The sequence below is a fragment of the Homo sapiens genome, chromosome 8 (assembly GCF_000001405.40).
Source record: "Homo sapiens chromosome 8, GRCh38.p14 Primary Assembly".
Taxonomy (NCBI): Eukaryota; Metazoa; Chordata; class Mammalia; order Primates; family Hominidae; genus Homo; species Homo sapiens.
Window position 1 is genome coordinate 98,373,930 of NC_000008.11, and position 21,494 is coordinate 98,395,423.

Below are 21,494 nucleotides of genomic sequence, written 5' to 3' on the forward strand. Positions count from 1 at the left end.
CCACCATACCACACTGTCTCCTCCCATTGCATATTGCTGATTTATGGAGGCCTCTGTTTTTCTAGATCTGAAATGGAATGATCAGTCTAGAATCTAAAATCTAGATACCCACCCACAATGGAGAAGTGTGAAAACAGTAGCATTCTTGTCGAGGCTTGATCAAGAGTTTATGTGAAGCAAACGTTTGTATTATATTTCAGAAGCGTGATGAAGGGAACGTTTTACAGGTTTTAGAAAGTGCAGAAGGTTGAGGATCAGTGAAGATCAAGCACTGGAATGAAAAAGCATCCTGGGAGAAGCATGGCAGAGATGCAGGCTGTCTGGTCTGAACAACTGAGGGGTGGGTACAGGTGAGCTAAGCTGATCTGGCCATGGAAAGAGGCCGTCTGTCTAAGCCAACAGTCCAGGTACCAACCACTCATATCTGGTGGCTTTACAGAATGGAAAGCCAAGGCCCAGGCATTAGATAGAGTGCCCGAGTTCCCTTCCAACCCATTTATTCTACAAACATTCACCAGATAAGCCAGGCAGTCTGAAACATTAGTTCAAATGTGAACATTGATTTCTGGCAGTAGCTTAGCCCTGCACATGGCAGTGGACTATGTGCACTGTGTACCTGGCTAAACACTTTAGTAAATAGATCCTTCCTGCCTTTGGGTGCAGTCAGTCCTGGAGAGCAAATGCTTCTTCCTCAGGAATTTTGCATGCAGTGTGTGAAAAACATCAGCTAAAACAGATCCAAGGCTGCAACTAAACCTTCTCCTAGAATTTAGCTCTCTACCATGGATGTGGGAAGAACTCAGGATATATTAAGTAAAATAAGTACTGTGTAAACTACATTTCATGAGAATGCAGGAGAAAATGAAAATAATATCCAGATTTCCTTGTATATACATAAAGATACTCTGGAAGGATACATGAGAAGCTAGAGGGGCTAGAGAAGGTTGGTAGGAATGGAATAAATGGAGGTCAGGGTGGCAGGAAGACCCTATTACATACCTTAAATTTTTTTATTTTCAAAATTATTAGGCTGGGCATGATGGCTCACACCTGTAATCCCAGCACTTTGGGAGGCCAAGGTGGGAGGATCACTGGAGCCGAGGAGTTCAAAAATAGCCTGGGCAACATAGTGAGACCCTGTGTCTACAAAAAAACAAACAACAAAAAAAAAAACTATTAGCCAGGCATGGTGGCTCATGCCTGTAGTCCCTGCTACTTGGGAGGCTGAGATGGGAGGATTGCCTGAGCCCAGGAGGTTGAGGCTGCAGTGAGCCATTATCATGCTACTGTACTCCAGCCTGAGTGAGAGAGCAAGAAGCTGTTTCCAAAACAAAAAAAAAACAAAAAAAAACAAAAAAAAAAACCTATTATACTTAGCTAGTGCAATAAGACAAGAAAAAGAAATGGAAGGCATACAGGTTGGAAAGGAATAGATAAAACTCTCTGTCTTCAGAGATGGCATGAATATCTACCTAGAAAATTCCAAATTATTTAAAAACTGATCCTTTCTTGGAGACCCTTTTGTAGAGTAGAATTTTAACATACAGATTCATTTAATACTACTATAATCAGGATACTGAACTGTTTCATCACCTGTAAAAGCCCTGCTGTGCCCTTCCTTTATAGTCACTGCTTCCCCAGGCCTTAATCCCTGGAAACCACTGATCTATTCTCCATTCTAATAATTTTGTCTTTTCAAGAATGTCATGTCAATGGAATCATGTACTATGTACCCTTTTGCAACTTTTTTTTTTTACTCAACATAGTATCTTTGCATTCACCCAAGTTGTTGCATGTACCAAAAGCCCATTCCTTTTCATTACTGAAAACTCTTCCATTGTATGGATTATAGATGCAACACAGATGTCCTTCTTTCATCTACTGGAGGACATTTGGTTTGTTTTCAGGTTGGGACAATTATAAATAAAGGTACTTATTATATGATATTATAAATATTCATGTATAGGTTTTTGTGTATGCATACATTTTTATTTCTCTGGAGTAGATACACAGGGGTGGGGTTATTGGGATGTAAGTATATGTTTAACTTCATGAAAAACTGTGAAACAACTTTTCACTGGGGCTATCCCATTTTGCATTCCCACCAGCAATGTATGAGCATTTTAGTTGTTCCATATCCTTGTCAGCACTTGGTGCTATCAGTATATATTTCTAGAGACATTCTAACAGGGGTTGTAGTGGTATCTTGTAGTGGTTTTAATTTGTATTTCCCTAATGGCTAATTTTATCAAGCATCTTTACATGTGTGTATTTGTCATTTTTATTTCCACTTTGGTGAAATGTCTGTTAATGTCTTTTGCCCATTTTAAAACTGGGTTGTTTGCTGTCTTACTGTTGAGTTTTGAGAATTCCTTCTATATTCTGGATACAAGTCCTTTGTCAGATGCGTGATTTGCAAATATTTTCTCCTAGTCTGTAGTTTGGCTTTTTGTTCTCTTAGCTGTGTCTGTCTCAGAGCACAAGTTTTCAATTTTGATGAAGTCCAACTCATCATTTATAAAAAAGATTATATTTTAATACCATGTCTAAGGGCTCATTGCCAAACCCAAGGTCGCATAGATTTTTTCCTATGTTTCCTTCTCAAAATTTTTTAGTTTATGCATTGCATTTAGATTTATGTTCTGAGTTAATTTTTGCTTAAGGGCTGATGTTTAGATGGAGATTCAGCTTTTGCATATAGATATCCAATTGTTCCATCTACTCTAAAGGGAAGAGAATGTACGTTACTTAACTTCCCTCCCAGTACAAAGATATTTAGAGTTCAATGGAAAACGTATGTTTATAACTTAAGAGTGAAATATCTCTTAAAAAATATCCAACATCCAATTGCTTGCAATTAACTTGGGTGAGAGTGTATGATTTGTGAGGAATAGATGTAACCGGTAGCCAGGAACCTGGGTTAAATGTCTCATAACACCATGTTTTATAACATATGACTCAATGATCTTCAACCTATTTTGCTTGTTGATTCCTTAACTTTGAAAAATAAACTTTTACCATTGACATCTTTTCCTTCTTTCTTTTGCCAGTCTCACCACACTGGGCTCTTTGGTGTTCCTTGAACATGCTGGGCACGTTCCTTCCCTCTTTCAGGGCCTTGCATTACCTGGAAGACTCTTCTTCCAGATATCTGCTAATGCTGTCATTTTAGACATCAACTTCTCAGTGAGGCCTAGCCTAGCCATGTTAATGAACACAGCAATCAATTCCCCTTAACCTTATCTACCTTCCCTCCCAGCACCTCTCATCCAATAAGGTGATATGATACTCACCAGCACCCATTTAAAAAATGCATCAACATTGCTATTTGTTAGGAGTCAGAATCTTATATTAATTCTTTTTCCCCTTGATTTTATATTTGAATTTCACTTCTTCGGCAGAATTTAAATTTTATGTAATTTATTTTATGCATGGAAGTTTTTATATTAACTCTGTAATATTTATTTGCAGCCAAATAGAAATTTCAATACATTATTTTTAGGAACCATAAAGTTCCAAATGTTAAACATTTTCTTCTGAATTGAATTATTGAATTATTATTATAATATTAATAGTAAATGTCTAATTAAAGACAAATATATTATAAATTTTCATAATAATTATACTAAAAACATTCATTGAAAATATAAGAAAAAAAAACCTCATGCACAACTTCTGTGTCCTGTTAAACCATCCAGCACTGTGAGCACTGGAAAAAGTAATTTGGGGCACTTCCCTCTTATGGGCCAATAGGTTTAAAGGCCCACACCCAACTCTGCCATCCTGAGAGCTGCTTCTTGCTTTCTCAGGCTGGGGCAGTTCCAGCCTCTTGGTGGTAATCAGCAGGGACATGGACAAGGTGTGAGTCTCAGGGACTTCCAGCCTCAGCCACTCCCCTGTAGTCGAGGCTTTGCAGAATGTGGATACTGCAGGCCTCAGGGAGGGAAACGTGTTTCTTTAGCAGCTAGTAAGGTTGAAGCTCCACTGCTCTCTCCTGCCTCTTGTGGGGAAGCCGTGAATGCAGGGACATAAGAGTAGAGGCTCTGCCCCTACCTGCCAGGTGCCCAGTTGACTTCAAGAGGTGTCTCCAGCAGTGCCACATACAGTCATATCTCCTTCAGATCCAGAGGAGAGAGGAGGAAAAGAAGCAAGACAGCTTCAGAGAGAACACGGGTTTAAGAATGAGTTGTGTTTCACTGAACTCATTTAGGAAACAATGGATTTAGATGGCAAGAGGTTACGGGGGAACCGAGGAACTGACCCCACAGCCCCATTCACATCCAGCTAAGACATCACCCTGAGGTCTGTTCCTTTGCAAGCATCCACCTTTCTCTACAGTCAAGAGCTGAACAAAGACCTCCAGCACTTGGCTTCTTGAAGAGTTACTTTGTCACCTTTTTAAATGCCTCAGAACACTCTACTTGCCTCTCTTTCTACTAGCTTTATCCTATACGTTTCAGGATCAATGTCATTCGGTGGTTAAGACTTAGGTCTCAGAGTCACACAGATCTGGGCTTATACTGTAACTGTGCTGCTTACTGTCTGTGTGACTTGGGCAAATTATTTACATTTCCTAAGCTTTGATTTCCTCATCTCTAGGATGGATAAAAGAATAGTATTTGGATTGTGAGTATATGAGGAATGTGTGCAAAGCACTTAACATACTGCCTGATACACAGTGTGAATACGTGTGAATAAATGATAGCTGTTTTTATCAACCTCCTCTCCGCCTTCTCTTCCTCCCCGCTTCCTTATCATCATCATGATTATTATTAATTTCAGGCTCCAGTCCCTTCTCTGGCTGCTTTCATATTGGAAGGGCCCAGGATGCAAACACCACTGATCCAGCATCACCTGCAAATATCTGTCCTGCCTACAAAACACAACTCTCCACATGGCCCCTCCCTCATCATGAAGCATCTCTTCACCAGATGGGCTTTGGCCTCCTTGATCCCCATGGGCCTTTTGCAATCCTTTCAAAGCTCAGAAATAATTAATAGTATGAAAACCCCACTGAGAACCCTGTGGTGTTTGGGGTGGGGAGGAAGCTAGGGCAGACCCAGGGTCCCAGGAAGTTCCAAGCCTTGGCTGCTGGAGGCACCAAGGATCCCAGGTCTGTGGGTTCACTTGATGTCGGTCTCAGATAATCTGCTTCTCACCTAGCTCAGATGGGGGTTAGGGGAAGCATGGTTTGGGTAAGCCAAGCAATTCAAGGGTTAATACCTAAGAGGTCTCCAGAATCATTAAAGGCTCTGAATTCTCAGTGGCTGAAAAGCTCCTGCAAGGAAAAATAACCTTCGTGAAAATATGTTAAACTCAAAAGTTGATTTATTATACTCCCAACAACGGACTGATCTGTTTGCTTAAGTGCCCTAAGTATAGCAGCTAAAGTTCACAAGCACTATTTGACCTTTACAGAATAATTAGCTTAAAACAATTATTAGCACGTTTCTTTTCAGGCTCTGTAGTATTAGATAATGCAATCACTCCACTCAAAAACTTTGTTCTTTATTGTTACTTCAAATCAGCCAAATGTTGCAGAAACCTACACCAGGCTCACAGATTGCTCCCACACTGTGCTGACCATCTTGGTTTGCAATGACCTGTGGTGCAGCTTGGAATCCTCCCCAACCCCACTCCTTCTTCAAGTGCTCAGGGACTAGAGGACCGGACACAGCAGATCCAGAAGTCACAGGTGCAGGGTCACCCACAGCACACTCTCCTCCCCAGGATAATCAGACCCTTGAGATCTTTCATTCTTAAAACAAAATTATTATAAAAGGCAACATGTGTTCATTGTAGAAAATTGGAAATACACAGAAAAGCAAAATAGAACTACCATATGATCCAGCAATCCCACTTCTGGGTATTTATCCAAAAGAATTGAAATCGGGATCTTGAAGAGATGCTAGAACTCCCATGTTCATTGCAGCACTATCCACAATAGCAAAGATATGGAAACAACACAGATGTCCGTAAACAGAGGAATGGATGAAGAAAATGTGGTAATTACATACAATGTAATATTGTTTAGCCTTAATAAAGGAGGAAATTTCACAATATGGGACAACATGGATGAATCTTGAGGACACCATGCTAAGAGAAACAAACAAATCAAAGAATGACAAATACTGTGTGATTCCACTTTATGAGGTATCTAAAATAGTCAAATTCATAGAGTCAAAAAATGGTGGTTACCTGAAGCTGGGTAGGGTTAGGGGGTGGTGCAGATGTGGAGTTACTAATTAACAGGTGTAAGTTTTCAGTTAAGCAAGGTGAATACGCTCTACGTTCCTCTGTACCCACAGTCAACAATAATGTATTGTACACTTATTACGGGGATAGAAATCATGTTAAGTGTTCTTACCACAATAAAATAAATTTTAAAAAGGAAAAGCAAAAAATAGAAAATACAGCTCACAATCTTATTACCCAGAGATAACCACCGATAACACTTTGATGTCATCTACTTACCTTTTTATAAACTTTTAAAAAATCCTCTATTGTAGGACACTCAAGTGATGTTCAGCGTCCTGTTAAGCAATTCTTTGCTGAAACTAACATTTTTTCTCACATCTATTATTACCTTAGAATAGATGTTATTTCGAGGAATGCTATTTCTGAGTCAGAGTCTGCACATTTTAAAAACTTTGTATTCAAGTTGGCCTCCAGAAAAATCCTATTTACTCTTCTTTCAGCAATGTATGGATTACCTGTTTTCCTCAGACCCTCACTAGTACCAGAAATTGTAACTTTTTAAAAAGGTGATAGTTTAATCCATGAAAAATTTGCATTTCTTTGATTATTAGAAAAGTTGAGCATGCTTTCATGGGATTTTGGGTCCTTTGCATTTCTTCATTTGTAAATTACCTGTTTATGTCTGTTGTTCATGTTCTCATTGGGTATTCTTTATCATTTTCTTGTAGGTTATCTTATAACAAGAAAGTCAATCTTCTTTCTATCACATAAGTTCCAAATACTTCCCTCAGGTTGTTGTGTTTATTTTATTTTAATTAATTAATTTCTCTCTCTCCTTTTTTTTTTTTTTTTTTTTTTTTTTGAGATAGTTTCACTCCTTTTTCCCAGGCTGGAGTGCAATGGCGCAATCTCGGCTCACTGCAACCTCCACCTCCCAGGTTCAAGTGATTCTCTTGCCTAAGCCTCCTGAGTAGCTAGGACTACAGATGCCCACCACCATGTCCGGCTAATTTTTGTATTTTTAGTAGAGACGGGGTTTCACCACGTTGGCCAGGCTGGTCTCAAACTCCTGACCTCAGGTGATCCACCTGCCTCAGCCTCCCAAAGTGCTGGGATTACAGGTGTGAGCCACCACATGTGGTCTATTGTGTGTATTTTAATTTTACCATTTTGTTGACCCACATTTTTACTCCAGGGGCCCTGAGATCTGCATTTCCACCCTGTGATGGGGCTCCTACCACTTCTTTCAATCTTAACTGTAGATTCACTTCACTGATCATTTAATTGATAGCTCTGGATCAATTTCCTTTTCCATATTTAATCCGGGCATTAAACAGACATACGTGACTCATTTGCCAGGTGCAGGCACTTGGGTTAGGGGATAGAGCAGATTAATTCTAGTCCGCAATGTCTCCTGTGAGGTTCGGGAGAAAAAGCCTGGTGGGAAACCACAGGGTTGGGAGTCAGTTCTTAGGGAATGGCTACAGCTCTGTGCTGGGCATTTTGTCTATTGTCCGTCACTTAACTCTCACACCTTTTGAGGTAGGTGTTACTGTCCCCATTTTACAGATGAGTACATGGAGGCTAAAAAAGTTTCACTCACTTAACCTAAAGTCAACCAGTTGTTAAGCAGCAGAATAGGATCCAGCCCAGTGCTCCCTGCCCTCTACCCAGGCTCTGGGGATGGTGCTTGCAGCAAACTTGAGGCCAATGAAGGTGAATGAGGTGGTCATGTAGATACATGGCTGGATCCTACCTTTATTTCAAAGTTTGATATTTTGTACATCATAGATTTTTCCATTCATTTTGCTTTTTAAAATTAAATTGCATTAAAATATTATTTATCTTGAGTGTTGAGTTTTTTGTCACCTCCCCCCACTTAAATTTTGTGCCCAAGAGATTGTTTTATTTACCTCACTCTAAAGGGGAAGGACCTCCATCCTTTTCAAAGAAAAATAGTTGGGGACCTAGGAGGTGGTGGGCTGGGGAGCTGAGTGCAGACTGGGGCAGGAGCCCTGGGTGGAGACACACTGCCACGGTGACCCTTCCTGGCTCTGTGCAGCAGGCTGGCCTTCTGCGTCTCTTGTTTTATCAGCAGCAGATATGCTTCTCCCTGCCTGAGAAGCAGGCCTGGAAAGTGAACCTGGTGCTCCATTTGCCTATTTTTGGAGTTCTTTAGAAGAAAGGTCTTCCACACAAATGCACATGATTTTGACGTTTGCTGATGAGCAGCATTCTAAATTATCGCAGTGTACATAACATTTTGTTTAAAAGGCACACTTCCTTCCCAGCCCAGGGTCCCAGAAGGCAGAGGAGGTCAGAGGAGACATTCCCAGCCCCAGGGTGGTGAGAGAAAAAGCCTTCCTTGTTCTCTCAGGCTGTCTCCTCCAGCCCAGAAACAAGTCTTGCCAGGGGTGGTCTGTGTTCTAAGATTGGAGGCGGGGGGAGCCTGCTTTTTTAGCTCTCAGACTTGAGAGACCTGCCCGGGCTGCTCCATGAGGTGGGGTCTGCCTGGTATCCCCACATTCTAACCAGATTCCCCATCTGAAATACTCCCACTCCCCTGCCTGGAAAGCGGCCTGACAGCTCATCACATTCCTGCCTGCACCGTCCACTCCAGCGGCCACATGACTGAGGGGAAAAGGCAAGAAACCCGATTCCTGAAACTGGGCCCAACTGATACGGCCGGTTCCTGGAATCCCAGCAAAGAGGCGGCCGGCTGGGGTGGGGACCAGCCTTCCCAGGGCTTGGGCTCCGTCCTGCATGGCAGCGTTTCAAAGTCCAGGCAGGCCGCAGCTGGGCCGCCTGCCTCCCACAGAAGAGGAAAGAAATCCAGGCCCCAAGGTCCCCTCCTTACTCTGGGAACCTTCTCTGTGCCACAGCGTGAGGGCTCTGCCTGCTCCTAGCCTCCCCCTAACAGAGCCCATTCTGCCTTGGCTCACAGGTGCCTGTGTTCTTACTTGCTTCGAAGGGTTAGAATCTTGTCAGCAGGGAGTTTGTCTCATTCATCCTTAACAGCAATAACTGCCATTTGCTGAGCAATTTCTACTTGTCTTCTGTGCTCCTTGTCCTGGGAGATAGGCAATTCTTTTCATTGTCATTCTACAGATAGGGAGGCAAGCTTCAAGAGGTCAAATAACTTGCCCAAAGTCGCCAGTAGGTGGCCAAGTCAAGATTTGAGCCTGTGTTTTATGAAAGCCCATGCATTGAATCCTCAAGCCAGGCATTTCAGACATCAGGGCTCACAGGTGTCAGACTAGATGTATAAATGAGAGACATGGAACAGGCAGGATCTATTATAGAATAGCAGGTGCATGTCTGTCTGAGGGAGCAGCTGCTCCAACCTTCGAGCTGATTTTGCCTCTTGTGAATACTGGCTCACCGTGGCCAAATGGATTTTTTAAGAATAGCCTGAGATCCACATTTCTAGGTGAAACGTCCTGATTTTAAAATTTGGGTAACTAGTTAAAAGTAAAAGCAAAGCAAAGCAAAACAAAACAAACACTATGTGGGCTAAACAACAGAAGTCACTGGGTCAGATATAGCCCATAAGCCAGCAGTTTAAAAATTCTGTACCACGTAGTTGTACCATGTTGTGCTCTGTGCATATTAGGTGTGTAGTGAATGTTTTTTGCTTTAAAGTAAAACCAACCTTACTTCTAGGAACATCTGTATCTACAGGAGGAAAAACGTACAGTCTCAGATATTCCCAAGGATGTACAATTTTGAATGATCAGTGCAGATGTTGCCTTCCAGGGCAACAGATGGTCATCAAATGCACATATAGACCAGGCTAGTGTATTAATGAGATGCTCTAAGATGGATTCTCCTCCCACATATCCAGGTGAGACCACATCGTTAGAAGAAAGACACATTCACATGTGGCTTGGCCCAGCAAATGAGGCAGGAGAATAGAGATTTAGGGTAACCAAGGGTTAAGGCATAAGCAAAAGAACAGCAGGTGCAGCCAGTTCTAGGCAAGATTAGGCACCATACAGGCCACATCCTCACTCATGTGATAATAAGACGTTTCCACTTTGGCCTCTGATTGGCTGTGAGCCAAGTCTCCACTACCTCTGGTCACAGGCCAATCCTTCATAAGGTGTAACCAACTGGAGGCTTCTAAAGGACACCTAGGGGTGTAACCAAATTCTTTTAGCCTAATAAAAACCCTAAAGACCATTGCAATAGGGGCTCTTGAGCTGCTTGTCCCAGCCTGCTTCCACTTTGTGGAGTGTGCTTTCTTACTCCATTCTTTTGTTGCTTTGTCTTTCATTGCTTCGTTCTTTCGTTGATTTGTTTCTGCGTTTTGTTCAATTATTTATTCAACTCTTTGTTTAACACTCCAAGAACCTGGACAACTCACTGTCAAGACCTTCCATCCAGTAATACAAAGACTTGGCCTCTGTGAACCATCCTCTTTTTCTTCCTACCTCCTACATGGGGAAGTTTCCAAGGCTCAGTCCTGAAACTTCAGCAACTCTCTCTGTCTCATCTTCCAGAAAGAAGGGATCTCAGGCCCTTTCATGGATTTGATGATCACCTCTACACCTCACCCAAGCCTAAAGCCAAGTTCTCAATCTTCCTCCCAGAATCAGGGTGCCCACCCTCCTGCTGGCCCCATGTCTGCCACTTGCACTATCATTCTTCTGCTTGGGCAGCTCCAGATCCCAGCATCATTCTTGAATCCTTTCTGCTTTCCTCCTTCAATAATCAGCCCCAAACCCTAGCCAATATCTCATTCCACCTCTCATCACGTCATACCTGGGCCATTGCTATATGCTCTTAACTGGTGTAACCGGGATAACATTTGGAAATTAGCTGAGTCCCTCCTCCACATTCCTTTCTTTCACCTTATGGCCCTCCCACACAGCAGGCATCCATCCATTGCTTCAAGGGAGGGTTGTTAAAGGCAGTCAAGTTCTTGGTTTTTGAATTTCAAAAGCCAGTCATCAGTTTTCATCATACCCCTTTTCCCCAGGAGAGAAATATTTCCCAAGCTGGGCACTGGGGAAGGTGTAAAAGGTTTGATGGGTCCCCGAGAAGAAACCCTGTTGTGCCTTCCTCCCACACCTGGGCTGAGCCCTAGATAGATTTGGAGGGTGGGTGGCAGAGGGGTTTGAGTGGGGGTCGGGGGGAGGTCGTGCAATTCAAAGCAAAGGAAACAAGTCCCATTTTCTGTGAAGGAACTCAGCACAGCCCAAGAGCTGAGCAGTAGAAATGGCTACATGGGGTGTCCGGGAAATAAGACTTTAAATGTCCTCCCAGAGTCTCCTCTGGTCCCTAAGTGGTGACAGAGAACAGCCAGATGTCCTTAAGTTCACGAGAAAGGCCTGAAAGAACTAAGGGCCAACCGAAGAAAGACCCCGGATGAAAGTGGAAGCCACACACAGCTGCAACCTCCTTGCCTCAATGACTGAGGACCTCCAGGAAGGAGGGCGTCTCAGCTGGTGCCTGAATGGGCAAATGATGACCAGGAACCTGACTCCCCTTCGCAGTGCCCCCGTCCGTCACTGTAGCCCTGCTCCAAGAGCCTGGAATTCAGACACAACTTCAGTGGGCGGGGGGAGATGCAGCAAAATCTGAACAGACAGAGATTAAATGTGTGCCCCCCACACCCTGAAAAAGAGAAAATATTTAGGAATTGTAGAAAAATCAAGTCACTATTTTTATGGCCTGAGTTTGGGTCCTGAAATTCACCAGCGCTCCTTGCCTCTTCTCCCCGTATTCCAAATGATTGTGTATTCTGTGGCTGGATTAATCTTCTTCCAGTGCCACTTCATGCTTTCATGGGTTCAGAGAATAATTATTGAACAGTTGCAATGAGCCAAGAGATGTGTTAGGGGATTAAAACTTTAAATTGAGAGTAATAAGAAAGACGAAAAATAGCATTACACCAAAATGCCATTTTTCAAGCAAAGCTCTGAAAGTTTGACAATATACTCTGTTAGGTAGGCAGTGGGGAAGCAGGCACTCAGTATATTGCAATTGGAAATGGAAAATATTACAACCCCTATAGAAAGAAATTTATCGATACCTACTAAAATGATATATATATTTGCCATTTGAACAAGTCCATCTACTTGCAAGAATCTATACCAAAGAAATATTGACAAAAGTATGAAGGGATATGTGCACAAGACAATTAATTGCAGCACTAGTTATAATAGCAAAGAATTGAAAGCAACCCAAATGCCTATCAGTAGGAAACTGGTTGAGTAAATGATGGAGTTTATTATTACTGAAATACATAATAGATTACTATGCAGCTATAAAAAGGAATGAGAAATATTTCTATATACCACTATGAAGTGATTTTAAGAACATACTATTAAAAGTGGGGAAAGGCAGAGAATACTGTTTATAGGGAAGTATTTTACCTGAGAAAGGTGAGATTATTAGATTATATATACATATTGGTTATATATTTTTTAAACGCAGGATAACAAAAACTAATAGTGGTTATATATAAAGGAAGTAGGAAATAAAACAGAAAAGCCAGGGATGCAAGCAAGACTTCCCTCAATGTACCTTGTTTTATAGACTTTTACCTTAAAACTATGTAAATGCCAGCGGGCATGGTGGCTTACGTCTGTAATCCCAGCACTTTGGGAGGCCACAGTGGGTATATCACCTGAGGTCAGGAGTTGAAGACCGGCCTGGCAAACATGGTGAAACCCCGTCTCTACTAAAAATACAAAAATTAACCAGGTGTGGTGGTGCGCAAGGCTGAGGCAGAAGAATTGCACGAACCCCGGAGGTGGAGGTTACTGTGAGCCGAGATTGTACCACTGCACTGCAGCCTGGGGAACAGGGCGAGACCCTGTCTCAAAAACGAACAAACAAACAAAAAATATGTAAATGCTTTACATAATTATAAAACAAAAATTAATTAGGAAAATGCAATTCTTAAAAATGGAAAATAAATAAAACAAGCCTAACTGTGTATCAATTTGGTGACTTACTTACATAGGGAATAGTTATTTCAAGTGACTTTAAAATACAGTAATTTGATTATATAACCCTAGTAAGATATGACATAAAGATTAAAAAAAATCTTGCATAGAAATACAAAGCGGTTTTTTCAGTTACATTGTTAATAATAATGTTTCTATTGTTATTCTAAAATATATGTGTAGTAGAACAAAGCACATAAGTTATTCACTTTAGGACCAAGGATTTTCAGAATAAGAGAAAATAGATACAAATATAAAGTCACAGAAGCTAAGTAAAAGCCACGTCATTTTAAACTTGAATTGGAAACCTAAGCATGAGTCCATGATGTATTTTCTCTTTAAAATAAAAAGTATTTCCCTTCTCTGATTAAAAGACCTAGAGACACTGGGCGTGGTGGCTTACGCCTGTAACCCCAGCACTTCGGGAGACCAAGGCAGGCAGATCACCTGAGGTCGGGAGTTGGAGACCAGCCTGACCAACATGGAGAAACCCCGTCTCTACTAAAAATACAAAATTAGCCAGGCATGATGGTGCATGCCTGTAATCCCAGCTACTCAGGAGGCTGAGGCAGGAGAATCGCTTGAACCTGGGAGGCAGAGGTTGTGGAGATTGTGCCATTGCACTCCAGCCTGGGCAACAAGAGCGAAACTCCATGTCAAATAAAAATAAATAAATAAAAGACCTAGAGACAACAACCTACCTAGTAACGGTGAGCACCCCAGGGCCCAGATTGTTGTCTCTAAATACTACTTCCCAGAAAAAGAAACCAGAGCTCTTTGTAAAATGCCCTTTTTTTTTTTTTTTTGTCAGATACGGAGCAGGAATATTCAAGGTAAGTCTGGAAACCAAGAAAGATAGCAAAGACTATGGCAATCACAACAAAATGACCCAGAAACTACCTGAAGGGGTTCCCATTGATCAAAATGGGACAATTTGAGCACTGAAATGAACAGTAATTGCAATGCATTGAAACATATCAAAAATATTAAAATACCTGAGTCTATAATAATAATAAAACAAACTAATCAGTTACCTTTGGAATATGCTAGATAACTACTTCAGTATTCTGAAAACTTACAAATAAAGGGAAAGAAGCATCTATTTTACCTTTTCAGGTAGCCAAATAGTTGATGTGCAAATGGTCTTTATGGGAGAATTCTAGCCTATAAATGAAGAAAGAATGATAGAATTAGACTGTCATCATATTGTAGCCCCCACTGTTATAATGGAACTAGGCAATGATATCAATGGCTGCTAAAACCCTTAGGTGAATAACTGATGGGAGACTTCATAATGAATGGATCATGCTGACAATACTTGAACCCAATGATCAATGTTAAGATGATGAAAAGAGAGATGACCAAACATTGCATGTCTTCTAATGCGATGTATTTGGCAGCACACACCACCACTTATGAAGTATTCTTCTAAAAATGAACCTGAATCTAATCAAGCCCCAAGATCTAATCATGGTTTCCAGGAAATACAAGAGATAAAAGAATATGTAATTGATACTATTGGGATGAAGTCTGTAAAATCCAGAATATTTCAAATAACTTGCAAGAAAAAAGGGGAAGGGAATCTAGAAATTTTAAAAGCAACTTGGAGGACTTACCAACTAAATTCAATTTGTGAACCTTGTTTGGATCTTGAGTCAAACGTCAAAAAATTTTAAAAGACTAGATAATTTGCTGATTGACTAGTTGACAATATTAAGAAATTGTTGTCAAATATTAGCTGATGTCCTTTGCCATTATAATGAAAAATTTACTTTCTGACCTGACATTCAACATCTTTCACTTGAACAAAAACATCTGATTTAAGTTCTAGATCTGCCACTTACATTACTGAGAAAGTCATTGAATGGCTCAGAACCATCTGTGAAGTGGGAACATCATAATATACCACCTTGTTAAGTCATTGTGAAAATATGAGATGATGAATATGAGAGCACTTTATAAACCATATAAGCCACCTCCCATGACTGAGCTCCATGATTCTCTCAAGCATGGCTGATTGTCTGCCTTTGTTCAAGTGATTTCCCCTTACTCAGAATATTCTCCTCTCTCTTGTCATCCTATGGATGTCTCACCTTTCCTTTTACCTCCAGCCTGTTTCACCTTCTCCATGAAAACATTTTGAATCACTTCAGCCCACAGCAATTTTTTCCCTTTTCTTTTCATAGCCCATATTGTCTGTAATGCTCACTTGGCACTCCGAAATGACATTTCTGGGTAAATTCTCTTCCCAACTAAACTGAAGGACTCTCGACAACAGGGACTCTCTGTTCTTTATCAATTCTCCCCTCCACCAGAAGTCTAGCACAATGCTTAATTACAAGATAGCTAAAGCTTCAAATAAAAAATTATTCAGAACTCTTAACAGTCACGAAAACACAACTCAGTGTAGCTTAACTGAAGACAAATTAACAAGTTCACATAATCAAATTACAGGAAGGGCATGGGTGGTGCTAGCCCTGAAGGATGACTGCTACCAGGGATTGGGGTGCAGGACTGGCTGTCATCTCATTCCCTATGACTGCATGCAGACAAACCTTTCCATGTGACAGCAAGCATACCTGTGGACAGCTTCCTGTCACATATCTCCCTGCTTAGTTCCAATTCAAGAGTCCTAGAGAACTCTGATTGGTCTGGCTTGATCTAGTGGCCACCCCTAGACCAACCACCAAAGCCAGGAAGTGAGATGAAGCTTCTATTTGGATTATGTGTTAGAGACAGGAAGAGGAATTGTTGCCTCCCCAAATGAGCCAAAGCCACCAGAAGGAGGGAGAAGAACCGGACAGCTAAACTATGAAGTGTCCATGAGATGGGATGCGACTGAGCAGAGGAGGGATGTGATTTGACATGATCTCACTTTCTGCATGAGCCCCCCTTTCCCCACAGCACTGAGTTTTAGAACTGCGGTTAACATGTGCCCTTGGAGTACCCTCAGGGCTGATGTAAAATTGGCCAAAATTGGAATACCTTTGCATTTTCAATAAACTGTTTCCAGTCATTTACCATTTCTGTTGCTTTTCCTCCATTCTCAGTGTTCCAAGTTTTCATCTGGTATAATTTTTCATCTGTCTGAAGAACTTCCTTAGCAATTCTTTTTGAGCATGTCCACTGGCAACAAATTCTCTTAGTTTTCTTTATTCTGATTCACAGAATGTTTTTATTTTAACCTTCATTCCTGAAGCATATTTTCATTGGATATAGAATTCTGGAATGACAGTTCTTTTCTTTCAGCACTTGAAAAATGTTGTGCCACTTTGTTTTTGCCTCCAGGGTTTCTGATGAGAAGTCCTCAAGCATTGGAATTATACCACTATAAGTAGTATGTTGTTTTTCTCTAATTATTTTCAAGATTCTCTCTGTCTTTAGTTTTTAGCCATTTGATTATGAAGTGGCTGGGTATGGATTTCTTTGGGCTGATTCTGTTTGGGATTCATTCAATTTCTTGAATCTGTAGGTTTATGTCTTTCACCAAATTTGATAATTTTTCAGGCATTATTTCTTCAAGTTTTTTTTTGTTTTTTGTTTTTTTCCAGCAATGCACTTTGTCTCCTTCCTTTCTGGGTCTCTGATGACTTAAATGTCAGACTTTTTGGTGCTGTGTGATAGGTCTCTAAATCTGTATTCACTATGGGTTTTTTCTCTGTTTTTTAGATTAGGTCATGGTTATTTATTTATCTTTAAGTTCATTGACTCTTTCCTCTGTCACTCAGTTTTGCTAGTGAGTCCATCCCATGTGTTTTATTTTGGTTATGATTACATTTCTACATTCTAAAATTTCCATTTTGTTCTCTTTATATTTTCTATTTCCTTGTTAAGACCTTCTATTCTTTCTATTCATGTGAAGCAAATTCACCCTTACTTTTGGATTATTTTTATTATAGCTGCTCTGAACTCTTTGTCAGATAATTCTAACTCTGTGTCATCTAAGCATTGGCATCCGTTGACTGCTTTTTCCCATGCAAGTTGAGATTTGTCTGTTTTTTTATGTGCCAAGTAATTTTGAATTGTATCCTGGACATTTTGATTATTAGACTATGAGACTTTGTGTCTTGCTTAAATTCTATGAAGGATGTTGCTATTTTTGTCTTAGCAGGCAATGAACCTGGTTAAGCTCAGGCCTCACTTTCCAACCTGCCTTCTGTGGGCTGTAGTTCCAGTGTCAATTCTGTTTTCAAATTCAAAGTCTTTGCAGTGCCATTCAGTTCTGCCCCTAGGTTCTTCCCCTAGTGTTTAGTCTGGGACCTGGGCAATGGTCTATCTGTTAGTGTTTCTCTGCTGTTGGGGATCAGATCCACACATGTGCAGCTCAGGGATGAGACATGCAGCTCATAAACACCTTTATGCGGTCACTTCCCATGAGTCTCCTTCTCCACGATCTCTCTGTTACTTGTCCACTCCTTGGGGCTCCCCTTTGCAGTTCTCTGGTCAGAAAGCTGGGCTTTGGTCACCCTACTCTGCTGTGCACCTCCCACAACTGTACCCACCTTCAAGTCCAAGCTGGAGGGAAAAAGTAAACTCACCACCAGTTTAATGGTACACCAAATTTGTGCCTTTTTCTCCAATCTGCCTATTACTATTTGCTCTTGAGCGTCCTTGCATAGCATCTCGTGCAGTCTTTCCAGGTTTTTAGCTGCATTTCACTGGGAGAGACAGGGTAGAGTGTGCTTACTCCATCTTAACTAGAACCGGGACACAATAGAATGGTTTTAGAGGACATTCTTCAATATGTGCCTCTGAAGATGTGCCTAAAGACTCATCTTAGAACTCAAAGTCAGGTAAAGGTAGTTTCCTGATGAATTTCTACAGATTTATTTTATGAAACTGATAGTTCCCCCTTTTTATCCCAGTTACTGAAAAACTCAGAAAACATGATTTAGTTCACACAATCTAATTGCAGTGTCTGACACATAGGAAGTGCTTAGTAAACATTAGTCATCTCCATACCTGTCTATCTCTCCTCTTATCCCCCAAGAACTAAATGTTATACTCAATAAAAGAAATCTTTCTGAGTCTGTTTTTTTAAAAAAATATAATTTGACTCTTCCCACGCCTTTTATTACTTGACTTTCTCTTGCAGTTCTGTGATAGTCGTTTGGGGACTTATTTTCATCCTATTAATCTTTTACACTGCCTCAAATTGTTTGGAAGTAGTCAAGGCATAAATGAACAAATAGATGACAAAAATACTGTATTCATGGAATGCTTCCTATTTCTAAAACTGCTTCTACACCTCTTTCCATATTTCATCCTAAACAATACCCCATATTAGTGAGGAAGAAAGGTAGCATGAGGCTCCTCATCAGAAAAGCCCAGCCCAGGCAGCACTGACTTGGGGATCCTCTGGGCTCCCCTCCCACCGAAACCGAGATGAATTGTTCCCATTTTTATCTTCTGTTGAATGTTATACCAAGATGAAAAGAAGTTTTGAGAATTTCAGTGTCCTCTGGGACCCCATGCCCTAGGAACTCTCAGTCTAGGACATTCCCAGCAGGCCCTCTCTTCTCAGACTGCCCCATCAGTGGCTAATGCCTGCCCTTGGGGTCCAGGGATCCCTAGAGAAACTGGAGGCCTGATGTCACTTGAGGAAACATGATACTGGTTTCTACTCCTTCCAATATGACTTGGAATTAGGACTCATCTCCTGAGTAGGGTCATCTTGTCCACTTGAGGGGGGCTTTCCACTTCTTCTCCTGTCCATGAAGCCAAGTACCTCTTCATGGGTTGGCACTGAAAGGTAGGCACAGAAACCACTTCAGCTGGCACACAGAAAAACATCACTATGACCCTTGCCTGTTATTCAGCTGTATCCTGGATCCCCCCTTCAGTTCAGAAAGGGAGGCAGAACCTAGCACTCAGATGGGCCTCTCTTCTTCCCTCCCTCTCTCGCTTAGTGACACTCAGGAGACAAAGATTGCAGCCATTTCTCTCTGAGGGGGAGTCCACCCAAGGGCAACTTACTTGCCTCTGACAGTTCTAGGAAGTGACACTAATATGCAGGAGGCTAGGAAGGAGAGAGCACTCAGGAGGCTTCTTGAAAGGTCCCTTGCCCCCTTCCCAGGTCAACTTTAGCAGCCACACATTCCTGGGGCTTAGTTGAACTTGGACTAAGCTCACTGCCTGGTACTGGCATGTCTGAACATGGTCAAGGTCTACAGACCAGTACCAGAGTCAGGGATGACTCTGAGTGACCCTGGGCCTGTCACTCCAATGTCCTCAGCCCAATTCCTATGGATCGCCACCTCAATTCCAAGGAGAGGCTCTGGAAGGGTACAGATATGGCAATAGTCCTTCACTCCTTCTTGTGTCCATACCCTTTGCAATGTGACTTTATAGCTCCTCCCATCAAGAGGTGGACTCCTCATCTCCTTGATTTTGGGCTGGTCCTGTAACTTTCAGTGTAATAAGGCCAATAGAATCAATACAAGTGATGTTTGCCAGTTCTGAGCCCAGGCCTTAAGAGGCCTCACACACTTCTGCCCTTTGCTTGGGATTCCTGCCCCAACCACCTGAACAAGCCTGAGCTAGTCTGCTAGAGGATAAGAGGACTTTTATTACCAGCTCTGGCTCCCTAGTCTACTGGAGGATAAGAGACCTTTATATCCTCTTATCCTCCAGTAGGCTGGGGAACCAGAGCTGGTTGGCCCAGTTACCTCCCAACAGAGACCCCAGGCAGGTGAAAGAATCCAGTCAAGGTCAGCAAAGTTGACCCATGGCTGGCCACAGATACAAGAGGAAGCCCATCTAATTCCAGCCTGAATTGTCAACCTACAGAATCATAAGCAAAATAAATGCTTATTGTTTTAAGCCACTGAATTCTGGAGTCATTTCTTTTATAGCACTAACTAGCCACTGTAGAGGCTGAAGCACTAAGAGAGCTATTTGTCTACCATTTCTTGGGATATTGGAGTACAAGGCTTTAGTGGTACCAGTCAGTCAATGGATAGAGACAGGAAGGGATGGGGGTGGAGTGAGCAGCAGGATAAGATTGTGTCTTGGGAGATGTTGCTGTAGTCTCAGAACTCTCAAGTAGTGGGAGGAGCCAAAGCAGGAAGAGAATGTAGCAAACAGGAGCCCAGAGAAGTGGCTAGAGAAGCATGCTTAAAACCATCTCAGGGACTTCCAGAAATATTTAGGAGAAAGATGAAAGGCTAGAGGTCTTATGGAGACAATGTGGTTGGAGCCAGAAAGACTATGTAATTTTAACATTACATCCAAGGCTACTCTGATTGAACTTTTTTTTTTAAACTCAAACGAGAGATTGTAACTTTCCAAAAGACATTAGAAATAGGAAGTTTTCAGCCAGGCACAGTGGCTCACACTTGTCATCCCAGCACTTTTGGAGGCCAAGGCAGGAGGATCCCGTAAGTTCAGGAATTTGAGACCAGCTTGGGCAACACAGCAAGACCCCATCTCTAGAAAAAAACAAAATAAAATAAAACAGAAATAGAAAGTTTCAGCAGATTTGTTACACATGAATTCTTCCAAATAGTGAAAAAAATATTGGTAGATTGTGTTTACTTTATTCATCCTCAAAGGATTCTTTATTTCCAATTCTTTGGGGATAAGAAGAATAAAAATTGAGAAATGACTGCAAAGACTAGCAGCATTTATCACATATTCTTTGTACACATGAAGAAAGTGAAGAGCACACCAACAAATACTAAGTTACTGTGGCAAAGAAAGAAGTCTGGTGCTTACTTATATTGGGTTCTCTTCTCCTTCCAGGCAAGTGTGAAGATTACACATCTCTGCTCACTCCCCTTGCCACAGAGAGAAGAAACATGACTAGTGGAGTCAATGCGGCAGTGAGCAGCAGGGATCCTGTCATTTCTGAGCTGAAGCATTTCAATGTTTGTTTAGAACCCTCCACCATTCTCGCCTGCCACATGGACTGAGGAGGCTTTGTGTTCCAGATGGCAAAGCCACAGGGTGGTGGTGTCTCTGTCTGTGTGGATCGCTGAGCCAGGCCATGAAGTGAAGCTGCCTTAGAAGTTACCCAGGCCTGCAGCAGGTATTGCACAAATATGAAATCTATTTCAATTGTGTCAGACTTCTGGGATCTTGGCATTGCTTGTTACTGAAGCATTGCCTGACCTAGTCTGACTAATACAGTATTGAAAAGCTGGCATCTGATTAAAAAAAAAAACTATCAATGTTGCAAATACATTACAAAAACGAGGAAAAATTATTGTGCTATTGTTCACTGCAGATTTTACATGGTTTAATTTTTGGCAAGCAAGATCTAGTGTTCAGAGGAGCATCCAAAAAACTTTGTGAGCATGCACATGATAATGGAAATTTTATCCATTTGGCAGAAGCCAC

General features: G+C 41.5%; 1 protein-coding gene and 1 non-coding gene across 4 annotated transcripts in view, besides 5 other annotated features; both read right to left on the bottom strand.

Annotated features, from left to right (window-relative positions):
- The window catches only part of STK3 (serine/threonine kinase 3), a 598,636-nt gene that overhangs the window by 29,955 nt on the left and 547,187 nt on the right, over nt 1-21,494 (bottom strand). For 2 of the 3 annotated variants that reach the window (XR_007060753.1, XR_007060752.1), the window contains exon 12: nt 14,263-14,318. Coding sequence is in view for 1 of the 3 variants with exons in the window: in XM_047422133.1 (XP_047278089.1) it covers nt 14,314-14,318 (5 nt within the window). In the remaining 2 variants the exon portion in view is untranslated. Of the gene's footprint in view, nt 1-13,949; nt 14,319-21,494 lie in introns of those variants that run through there. The other variant, XM_047422133.1, reaches the window with a different exon arrangement.
- Nucleotides 8,732-9,026: a silencer, noted in NCBI's record as "tiled region #12621; HepG2 Repressive non-DNase unmatched - State 4:PromP". NCBI's record gives its function as "represses a minimal TATA promoter and a strong SV40 promoter by Sharpr-MPRA in HepG2 cells {active_cell/tissue: HepG2}" and the evidence as "EXISTENCE:reporter gene assay evidence [ECO:0000049][PMID:27701403]".
- Nucleotides 8,732-9,026: an enhancer, noted in NCBI's record as "tiled region #12621; K562 Activating DNase matched - State 5:Enh". NCBI's record gives its function as "activates a minimal TATA promoter and a strong SV40 promoter by Sharpr-MPRA in K562 cells {active_cell/tissue: K562}" and the evidence as "EXISTENCE:reporter gene assay evidence [ECO:0000049][PMID:27701403]".
- Nucleotides 8,732-9,474: a biological region, named in NCBI's record as "Sharpr-MPRA regulatory region 12621".
- Nucleotides 8,857-9,474: an enhancer, noted in NCBI's record as "H3K27ac-H3K4me1 hESC enhancer chr8:99395014-99395631 (GRCh37/hg19 assembly coordinates)". NCBI's record gives its function as "activates a minimal SCP1, AML or CMV promoter by ChIP-STARR-seq in naive H9 embryonic stem cells {active_cell/tissue: H9 hESC(naive)}" and the evidence as "EXISTENCE:reporter gene assay evidence [ECO:0000049][PMID:30033119]".
- Nucleotides 10,775-11,442: an enhancer, noted in NCBI's record as "OCT4-NANOG-H3K27ac hESC enhancer chr8:99396932-99397599 (GRCh37/hg19 assembly coordinates)". NCBI's record gives its function as "activates a minimal SCP1, AML or CMV promoter by ChIP-STARR-seq in naive H9 embryonic stem cells {active_cell/tissue: H9 hESC(naive)}" and the evidence as "EXISTENCE:reporter gene assay evidence [ECO:0000049][PMID:30033119]".
- MIR9903 (microRNA 9903) lies at nt 19,716-19,809 on the bottom strand. Its single transcript, NR_162095.1, has one exon. It is a non-coding gene; the product is annotated as a microRNA 9903 (primary transcript).